This window comes from Homo sapiens, chromosome 7 (assembly GCF_000001405.40).
Source record: "Homo sapiens chromosome 7, GRCh38.p14 Primary Assembly".
NCBI lineage: Eukaryota > Metazoa > Chordata > Mammalia > Primates > Hominidae > Homo > Homo sapiens.
In genome coordinates, this window is record NC_000007.14 from 35,298,769 (window position 1) to 35,310,346 (window position 11,578).

The window sequence follows — 11,578 nt, forward strand, 5'->3', positions numbered from 1 at the left end:
TCTTTCTGTTAAGTAGATAGTTTAGTGAATTTCTATTAAGTGAATCTTCTAAATATATTCCCTAAGCCTTTTTTGTAATTTTTTAAATTTCTTTGTTTATTATTCTATTTTCTGGGAAATTTCTTTTCTTTATATTCCAGATCTCTAATTTGGTCCTTGGATGGTCCATTTTATTACTTTACATTTTAGCATTTCTTTTGACCAATTACTTCTTCTTTTTTTATTACTACTTTAAAAATAGCACCTTGCTCTTTTTCCATGAATAAAACATCCTCCTGAGAGCTTCTGAGGATGCTATTTAGAAATTTCTCTTCTGTTTTTTGTAACTTTTGCTTTTTTCAATTTCTTCAACATTTTTTCTGCTTGTTCATTTTGGCTCTTTTCGTTGGTGTTGGTGTTTCTCAAAGGTCTAGTAATCTTTAATTGACCGTTTTTATTTATAAATGCATAGATTGCATTTTTCTTGGGCATATTTGTATTCATACTAGATTTCTCTCCGAATGGAAGGAATGACTAAAGGTTGGGCCTCATAATGGGCATATTTCTCTTTTAGAGTGAAAGAGGGAGGGAAGTCAGGGTCTTATAACCTTGCCAAAACAAGGAAGACTTTACCCTGCTATTAGAAAACTTTTTAGGGCTTTCATTCCTGAAAGAGCCCCATTTCTTACCTATCCACCTACGCTGCGTGGTCCATTATAAAGGACTAGAATTTCCTGGAGCTCTGCTCTAGTTTTCTCTTTTTTCCAAACTCAAAAATTTCCTCTCCATCCCCTCCTCCCAACAGAGAGGTCTTGCCTCCACGGGAAGCTGGCAGACACCAAGGCAGGCCTCTCATCTACATGCAGAGGTGCATGGGGACAGCAGCCCCACTGCTCTACCAGCAGTCTTTTACTTAATTTTTCTGAGGATTGCCCTGTAGCCAGGGACTACTCCACCTTCCTGTGCTAGTATTCTCTGAGTTTGGAGGTTCTAGAATCCTTGGGAAGAGCAGCTCTGTTCCCTGCAACAGCCCCTTTTTATTGTTGCAGTTTGTTTCATTCTGATTTCTCTATCAGTTTGATCTTACTAGATTTCTAACTTCCAGAAATTCTCCCAAACATATGGTCTACTGGCGGTATCCTTTCCTGTTCCCCAAGGTGTAGCAAATTTATTTTTTAATTATATCATTTGTGTCATTTCAGATGAATTTTGGGAGAGAGAGGAGGTAAATATTTGTCATCAGTCTGTCACATTGAACTGGAAGTCTTCACCTAGTTTTAATCCATAAGTAAGGTTCTACAGGCTTAGCAATTGGAAGCTGTCACCAGTATCTAGATTCTGATTTTAATTGTCTTTTAATTTCTAATGAAATGTCCATATCAGGAGTTCTTTAATTTAAATTTCTTTTAATTTCTAAATGAAATGTTTATATCAGGAGTTCTTGTTCTAGAGTCCATGGATTCCCTAGATATCAAAGAAGTCCCAATCTATTCTCTGGAGGGCTTTCAGAAGAAAGAATTAGAATAAAACCCTTTAAAAGTATTTCTTCATGGACATCTTAAAATGGCTATGGACAACTAATGAGAGATAAATAAGATCTAAAATCACATATATTCTTCAGGGAAGCTTTATACAAGGTGATTGTCTCCAGCATTTTACTATGAACAATTTTAAACATACAGAAAAGTTGAAAGACTTGTACAACAAACACCCGTATACTCACTCAGATTCTACAATACATTTAACTTTATGTGGTTTATATTACATCTATCTATCCCTCTATCCATTCAAAAATTCTTTTTTCCCTTTTTATGTATTTCCAAGGAAGTTACATATATTAGTGTACTTTAGAAGATATTTTTAAAATGTCAGTCCATATTCTCTGACTTCCTTTCCACTCTTCTTTCTTTCTGTCATCACATTCTCATACCAGCAAGAGGTGAGCTTCTCTCTGGATACCAGGGCTGTCCTTGCTTGGCTGGCTAGGGTGGAAGTTTAGACATGCAAACCAAACCGGCTGCTTTAAGGGCCAGCTGAAGGTCAACTCTTCTATAAAGACTTGGCCAGATGGGTTGGCAATCCTTTCTCCTGTGGTCTCAGAAACTTCAGGCACATCTCTGTGCATAGTAGATGCACTTGACAGCAATAACTTAAGAAATGAGGATTGCCACATGAAGGTTGCTGACAGGAGGGTGCTAAGTGAAAATGCTATATAAACTGCATGCTTCTTATAAGAGTAGATAAGAAGTTGCAGTTCTCCTGTCCAGCCCGGCACCACTGGACTGCCCTGTAAGTTCCCCCAAATAAACTCTATGTTTCATTCACTGGCTCTGGGTTCTCTCCTTTCACCTCTTGAACCTGGTGCCATCTCTATTGAAGTTAACAGGGGCCCAGCAGGACACTCTGTTAAGCTAGTCATCAGACTGGTGTGATTCTTCCTTTATATGAACATCTCCCCTTCTGACTATAGTATACTATGCACGTATGTGTCTGCGTGTTTACATGTGCACTTGTGGGGAACAGTGGGTTAGTGGCTAGGTCTTATTTATCTCTGTATTCAAGTGCTAAAACAGTTCCTGGAATATATTAAGTGAATAATCAGTGGATGAACAAAGGAATCAATGCTTGCTTGACTAGAATAGACAAATCAGTTCAAAACTGTTTTTGTGATCATCGCATTTTGACTTGGTAGATTAAATTAGAATGATTGCTTTGCCTAAGAGTGTTTGTAGTCTACACAGTTGGTATGGTTTTGGCATCATGTTTAAAGAAAGTAAAAAGATGGCCCATGTGAGACTCTTTACATGATTCCAGGTTTAACACTCAACATCCAGAATAGATAATACTGAAAGAATGGAATGAATCTATCAGATCATAATCTCAGGCTCATGGCCAAACCTAATGTTGCCTGTTTTGCTTTGCCAGTGTCATCAGAAACTTTATAAATATACATATATATATATTTTTTTTTCATTAGGAATAATAGACCCCATGCCATTGTAAAGAAATTGTTTCTGATTTTCACTTTTCCTCATTGATATGGTTTGGTCCTGTGTCACCACCCAAATCTCATCTCAAATTGTAATCCCCATGTGTAGAGGGAGGGACCTGGTGGGAGGGGATTAGATCATGGGGGGGTTTCCCCCATGCTATTCTCATGATAGGGAGGGAGTTCTCATGAGATCTGATGCTCTAAAAGTGGCAGTTTCTCCCGTGCTCTCTCTTGCTCCTGCTGCCTTGTGAAGAAGGTGTCTTGCTACCCCTTTGCCTTCTCCATGATTGTAAGTTTCCTGAGGCCTCCCAAGCCATGCAGAACTGTGAGGAAATTAAACTTCTTTCCTTTATAAATTTTCCAGTCTCAGGTATTCTTTCCAGAAGTGTGAAAATGGACTAATACACTCATTTTTAAAAGTTTTCCAAGGTTAATTTTAGTAACTGATCTAACAATACCTATCTCAATAGCTGAAGTGAAATCTTGCATCTTGCCCCAGCTACCCTACATGCCATGCTTTCCTTTGAGCTTAGGTGATCCAAGAGCCATTCACACAAAAGAAACTCAGACAGGTGTTAAGTAGGAACCAACATCTATTGATGACTTGACACTATGCTAGGTAGTTTACATTGGTTGTTTTTGTCTCAAATCTCCTTCAATTGAGGGGAAATTGGATTAACTGGCTGAAATCATTCAGTTGAAAGATCTGCATGGTTAATGGTCATTGGTTGCTTTCTGACTTGAGATTAAGGGACTGTTCCTCCCCTTTCAGGTTTGTCTTGATGGTTTAATATTAATACTGAAGAGCAGTGCCAGAAAACTAAGCCACCAAATCAGGCCCACAAGGGGTACTGAGCTCACTTCAATAAATAAAATAAAAGGGTACTTCAGTGTGTTCTCTGGTGGACAAGGTCAGGGGGAGACCTGGGCCAAGCTTTTGCTTTGTGCTCAAGTCACAGATTCCTGATCTTTAAGTCAAGGATGCAGACCCATTCACTCTCCACAGGTAGCTTGTATCCCTCTTGCTTTTTCTTTTCTTTTTTTTTTGGTAACCCTAGGAGTTCATTTTACCAAAGATAACAAATGTGGCCCTGGAGGAGATTTAAGGAAGCAAGTATGATTCACCCTAGGAGAACTAGGTCCTTCCTGAGCCCAGTACACCTGCGGGAAGCACCCCAGAAGCCTGCCCCATCCTGTGGCTTGAAGGCATCTCCAAGCACCATTCAGTGGCTGGTTTCCCTAAGATGCAACTTTGGGGCAGTCTGCCTGTGAGAGTAGATAAGAAGTGAGCTTAGCAGCATCTTTTATCAGCTGCTTATGCTCACAGAGGACAGATGATCTTCAAGGAGTTGCTTAGAGATTTAAAGCACTGATGTGACAAGGATGCTTTGATTCCAACGTCTCAGCCCTCTCCCTGCAGCCAGTGTTTACATAAACTTGAAAAAACCTGCCACTACTGTTCATCGCCCTCGTTTTTCAACCTTAATGGTAATTACATTCCAAGGACTAGGAGAGATTTTCCCTCTCCTTCAAGTCTGGGGTTAGATATTCCCTTTGACATGGCGTTGGAGCTTTGGAACCCGGTGCTGGGGGCAGGGGTGGGGTGAGTTGAAGGAGACACTGCTTTCTGATAGGGTTTTTAAATCAATTCTTAGAAAGCTTTAGCTTGTATATTTATTGTTTACTTTTTTATTATTGTGTAAGCAGAGTTTTGACTTAAACTTGAAATTTATTTTTGCTTGAATGTATCAAAACTTTGCATGTAACTGAAATTCAAAAATGAAAGTTGTGGCTTTCTCCCTGCACTCAGTGAAGTTTGTGATCTCTTCTTCCCAAGCCCCTGGCCTCCTATTATTTCCCTCACCATGCTTCACTCTCAAACTCAGCTCTTGTCTTCTCTCTTTATAGCCCTTCTTTACAATGGCAAAGATGGGGCTGTGAAGGAGAGAGATCTGTCTCATCCATTCAGAATCCCAAATCAAGACAACAGGAAGGAACGTTAAGAATGGAGACTGCTACCCCAAATCAAGGACATATGCCTGCCCTTTGGCCAGCTTTACATGTCTCTCCCTTACCCTCCATGTCCAATGGGCCTTGAATGTCCCTACCACCATCTCTTTTTCTTCCTCAATCTATTTTTGTCCCATTGCAAGTGCACATTTTCCTTTAAGAGTAAAGGAAAAACAAAAGACTTTGGATGGGGAAAAAGAGTAGTATGTGATGATGCAATTGCTTTTTCGTCTTTCTCCACTCTGTGTTTCTAACCAAGCCCTAAAAGATGGAGTTGGCCGGCTCCAGTAGACCAGATCTTGGATTTTGAGCAACCTGGCCACTTCCAGGTAGTTTCTGATCTCCATTTGGCACAATGAGTGCCACTGAACACTGGCCCTGACCTGGTGCTTTGGCCAGCCCTGCCCCTAGGGTGATCATTGGGATGGTGCCAAGAGCTGTGGACACAGCCACCCAGATGAAAGAAATTTGGGTCCTATTTCTAGAATCCAGAGCAAGGATGCTGGTGGAATCTTTCCTCTCCTCTCAATGGCCAGTCTCTGGCAGACTTCTTCTTCATTTGCCCAGGAAAGCCAGCTTTCAACAGCACAGGATTTCAAGAGGTTTCATCCTGCTCTGGTATGCAAAGGTTGGCCCAGAGAAGAACTCCTGGCTTTTCTTAAAACCAGTTATGCTTGGCTGGAAATATGTACTCCATAGGGTTTGATAAACAGATCCTGGCATTTTTTCAACTTGTCTATCTTAAATGGAAATGCAGATGCAGATCCAAGTTTTGTGGGGCCTGAAATCTCACATAATTTTTAGGGATTCTTTTTAAGAAAAATCATAAAAACAAAATTGGGTACTCAACTTCCTCTTACGCATATCCCCAAAATGCCCATGAACTTTTCTATATCACTGACCTGATCGGGGGTGTGTTGAAGTAGAAGATGGAGTGGGAAGAGACAACAGTCTTGAAAATTGAGTTAAAATGTCTTACTTCATCAGCTTAAATAAACTAACAATTTATGATCAGATGAGCATGTTGTTGGGGTTCCGCCCAAAGCCCAGGCAGGGGCATGCCAGTGAGGGCCCGCAGCTCATACTTCATCCGCTTCACTGTAAGTCAGTTTCTGCAGGGATGCTTTCCTCTTAGATAAATGAAACACCCTTTCCTCCTCCCCAATCACATTACTTTATGTTTCTAAAATTGCCTCTCTAATGTTCTTCATACAATTTGACAATATGAATCAAGAGCCTGATAATATTCATGCTTTAGCCCAGTAACTCTATTTTGCAATCTAGTATAACAAAAATGACTAGATCATGGAAGGACTTTATGCACAAAGATGTCTATTGAAGCATCATATATAATAACCAAAAATTGGATAGGCTTTAATGACAACATAGGAATGACTAAGTAAAACATGACATATTCATATTGTGGAATATTATACCATTAGAGACAATGAAGTTTTTACAAACTGCTTATAATAATGTGGGAAAATGCGAATATACTAATATCACAAAATAGCAGCTCACAAAAGTGACATAAGCAGTATATTTAACGAGCCAGTTGGTAACATTGAGTTTCTAGCACTTGGAAAATACTGTTGCATTCATCACACTTATCATCTTCAATGAGGAAACAAAAGTTCTGAACCCCTTGGGTCCTTGGAATTTCCAAAATTGAGGGCCACACTAGAAGAAACTCTCATTTTAAAATAGCCTCTGATTTTATGTTATTTTCTAAAGCTAATTCTTGATGTTATGCAACTGTGAAGAATCAGTACTTTTACTTACTGCTTATAGAAGAATAATACATATACTGATACAAATGCATTTATACCCTTTGATGCAGTCATTCTAATCCTGAGCATCTATTCCAAGGAAATTACCAGGAATATAGAGGCATTATGTGCAAAGATGCTAATTGCAATGAAATATAATAAGAAGGCATTACAACTTATCTAACAGTAGAGGAATTATTTTTTAAAATCTCAGTGTACATCTATAATGGCATATTAGCCATGGAAATAGTAAAATAGAGAAGAAACAAAAAATATAAAGCAAAGATAAGGACATATAATGGAGCTCCAAGTAGGGTGAATACAGAAATGCATATTGAAGAGTTTATTTTCTTTACAAGCTCTAATACATATCAGCCACTGTTCTAAGCTCATATGAAGCTATTTAAACTTCCTAACAATCCCATGAGGTTAGTTCTATAGTAATCCCCATTTTTGGTTGGAGAAAGAGTACAGACAGGTTAGGTAACCAGCCACAAATCATGCAGCTGGTAAGTGGTAGAGCCCCAGTCCTCGCTCTGCAATCCAGCTTGGATGTCCTCGCTTGCATCTTCTATGCGGTACAACTCCAGAGTTAGCTCTAAGCTTTCTAGCAACCAACATGAAAGTGAAAGCCAGATCACTTCCTTGAGTCAAGGTTAATAACAGGAGAATAAAATGATTTAGTATAAGCGATTCCTGACACTAAGAGAAAAAATCTCTTCTGAACACCACATAACTAGAATGCAGTGTTACTTAGAACTGGAGTAGAGACCACACCATGCTTTATGTACCATTTTTGATACTCTTTCTTCATTGTGTGCCAAGCCAAAGGATCCTTCAGCAAGAATGACTCTATAGGGGGTAGGTGGAAGTGGGGGAGCAATATTGTAATGCCCAGGTGCTTTCTTTAATGAGATGACTTAATTGAAGAATAAATTAAAGAATGTCTGGGAAAAGAAAAAGAGAGTATATTCATGATGCAGTACACTGTACTCCAGAAGCATTGCTCCTCTCAGTCTGGCTTTTGATAGAGTGTAAGTCACTGCTTTAGCATTGTAATCCTATTTACCTTCACAATTCTGTTTAGGGAGGCAACACAGGTATATTAGCTAATTAAAATGGAGAGGTAAAGGGGTTTGCCCCAAGATGCACCCAAGTGTTCTAACCCTTATCTTAGGATTGTCACCATAGATCAACTGTGAAATCAGTCACCGTCCTGGGTCTATTACTCTCAGGTAGCCCCTTGAGGCCTACGCAAATCCCTTTGTTCTCAGGGTGAGCTGCCAGAGCGGCCCGTGTCCATGTGCCATGTGGAGCAAGCTCCTTCCCTCTCAGTCACTGGGGGAGAGAATGTAACTTGCAAATGGAGAAAAATAGAAGTCAAAACACCCAACATGATATTCATCCTATCCCCATAGCTCTCCCCTATAGAACCCTGGAGAAAAAAAAAGAAAAAGTCAAAAGAAAGGCAAATGTGATGGCACCTAATACCCACTGGTGCCAACATTAAACCAGTTCTTCCCTCTACTCCCAGTTCCCAAGCTGGTAAGGAAGGAGCCGAGTCAGAGAAACCATGTGCTTGTGAGTGACGCTCCAGCCATGGCCTGCCTCTCTCAAGCAGTCAAACACAGAGTCAGAGCAAAAACAAACACACAGGAGAGCGGGACTCTTGGTTTATGGTTTTAATTCTTTTAAATAAAAGGCAGAGGAATGGGTGCGCTGACTCCAAATATAACACAGAGCCCACGAAGCAGTGAATGAACAGTCACTCCCGTCTCTGCAGCCACCGGCTTTGTTCTGGGTGCTACCAGCATAAATATTCTATTCCATTCATTGAGTGTCCAAAACTTGGGGTTCACACTCTTTGTTTTGGTTTGGTTTCTGGTGGCTCCCGTTCCATACCAGACATCATTATGATAGGGTCTCATCTGTGATGTAGGAGCCACTCTCATTTGACTGTGATGTTTTTCTATTTTCACCCATCATGGATGTGTTTTCTTTTGGAATTCAATCTAACCGGAGAGGAATCTCTTTTCAGTATAGATTGCTATGCAAACTGCTTCCCTACAGACTTTTGTATTTAGTGTAGCAGGGAGTCGATTTCATTTCATTAGGGACAAGACCTGATCCTGTGATCTCGATCCTTTTAGCCACTGCCATAGAAATCCAGTTCTTTCCATCCGTCTACACGCACATCCACACATCCACACACCTGCCAAGCACTAGGCCCTTCCTCCTGACTAGGGCCTTTTACATGACCCCTCTCACTCACCCCCACTTTTCCTGAAAGGAGTACAGTCCTCTCACCTCACCTACACCCCCAACTAACTTTCTTTTGTGACCTAGACACTTTTGGAACTGTACTCCTAGCTCGTTTAACTGATAGACAATTTCAGTGTGTAGTTATTGGTGAATAGTAATGGTGTAAGATCATGCTTCTCAAATTGTATTGCTTCTCAAATTTAAAACATCTCAGGATGTTTTAAAAAGGCAAATTTGTAAGCCTTTGTCCACAGGAATTCTGATTCTTTAATTCTTACTCCTAATTTTGTTTGGTTTTGATTTAAATCAAAATAGTACATGTGCATAGTTAAAAATCAGATAATACTGGATGACAGCGTTCTGCTTGCAATGATAGCAGTCTAGATTCAGAACCATGCTCCTCCTGATAACAACTAGAAAAACTAGACAAAATGTAAAAGAAAAATAGTCTGAAGTTCTCAGTGAAGAATTATGGAGCTAGATGATGGAAGAAGAAGGAAGCTCAGAGAGGTGACCTGGCAGTTAGGGCCACATTTTCCCTGGAGGTATTTGCAGATTCAGAAGAGGCAGCTAAAATTTGTCAAGCTTAGTAGAACTTTCGAGACAGTCACGTGGCCAGGGGATTAAGTTGAAGTTTAGATCCCACCAAAAAAGCTTTGCGATGAGATCTGGAGTGGGTACCTGTGGGAGTAAGTCCATCAGAAAGCAGAACACTGACGGCTGGGTGCAAACAACTTCATTAAGTGGTGAGGGTAAAGTGAGGAGGGCAGGATTTCCCCTAGCACAGCTGTGTACTAAAGGCAAACCAAAACACCTTTCTGGAAGATAATAGCATCATTTTAGACTTTATCTTTACAGTTCTCCACATATAACATCCAGCATGCAATTACAACCAACCAGGTGCAGCATATCTGAATACAAACAATTAAGAGGAAAAACAACAATAGAGACAAATCCACAGGATATCCAGATTATAGAGTTATTAGATACAGACTTTAAGATAATTTAGCTGATATGTTAAAGGAAATTAAAGACAAGATTTAAAATGTTAGCAGACAAGTGAAATAGTCTTAGCTTAGCTGTTGAATGGCCAGATAAATATTAAAGAAATGGAAACCATAATTTAAATTTTTCCACAAATAAAACTTCAGCTTCATCATGGCTTTACTGAAGACTTCTACCCACCCATTTAAAGAGGATGTGAGACCAATGTACCCAGACATTTCCAGGGAAGAGAAAAAGAGTGGACACTTCCCAAGTCATTTTATGAGGCATTACTTTCATAGCAAAACTAGACAAAATTGGTACAAAAAGAGAAAATTATAGGCTAATCTCATCCTTGAAAATAGATACAAAAATTAAAAATAGATGGTAACTAAATATTAGCACACTGGACCTGGTGATAAAAAAAAATGAATCATACGTTCCAACCAAATTGGGTTTGTTCTAGGAATGCAAGATTAGTGAACACTCCAAAATCAATTCATAGAATAAAGGAGAAAAACCACACAATCGTTTCAACAAACAGAAAAAAAGTTACAAGTTCACCACCATTTTATGATAAACAACAACAACACACAAAATCTTTTAGCAAGTGATATGGTTTGGCTGTGTCCCCATCTAAATCTCATCTTGAATCTTAGTTCCCATAATCCCCACATGTTATAGGAGGAACCCAGTGACAGGTAATTGAATCATGGGGGTGATGGTTTTATAAGGGGCTTTCTGTTTGGTCAGCTCTCATTCTGTCTCCTTCCACCCTGCGAAGAGGTGCCTTCTGCCATGATTGTAAGTTTCCTGAGGGCTCCCTAGCCATGTGGAACTGTGAATTACCCAGTCGCTGGTATTTCTTCATAGCAGTGTGAGAATGAACTAATACAGCAAGCTAAGAACAAAAAACTTCCTTAATCCGATAAATGATATCTACATAAAACTGCAGCAAAAATCAAACCTACCAGTGAAATGTTGAATTTTTTTCCCTTTAACTTGAAAAGGAAATAAAAATGCTACTAATCTTACCTCTATTCAACATTGTTCAAGGTGTTCTAGTCAGTATAACCAGGAAGAAAATGAAATAAAAGGTAAAGTGGTTTACAACTGCCTTTATTTGCAGATGCTGTGTTAATGTGTATAGAAAATGCAAAACAATCTACGGATAAAATGTTTAAATTAAACAGTAGTTTAGTAAGGTGGCTGGATACAATGTCAATATTTTAAAAATCAATTGCATAGATTGTCAAAAAATTAAATTAAAAATGTCATTTGTAATAGAATAAAATAATACCAAATACCTAGAATTATGGCTAATGCAGAAAGTGTAGGGTTATTACATAGAAAACTATAAAATATTGAAAGAAATTAAGACCTAATAAATGGAACTATATCATGTTCATGGATTATACAATTAAATATTATTAAAATGTTAGTTAGTGTTAGACCATGCAACTGATCTATAGATCCAATGCAATACCAAACAAAATTTCAGAAGATTTTTTTTCCTTTGTGGAAATTTAAAATTTGGAAGCAAATTCTTTAAAATTTGGAAGTCAGATTAGAGGAGAAGAGA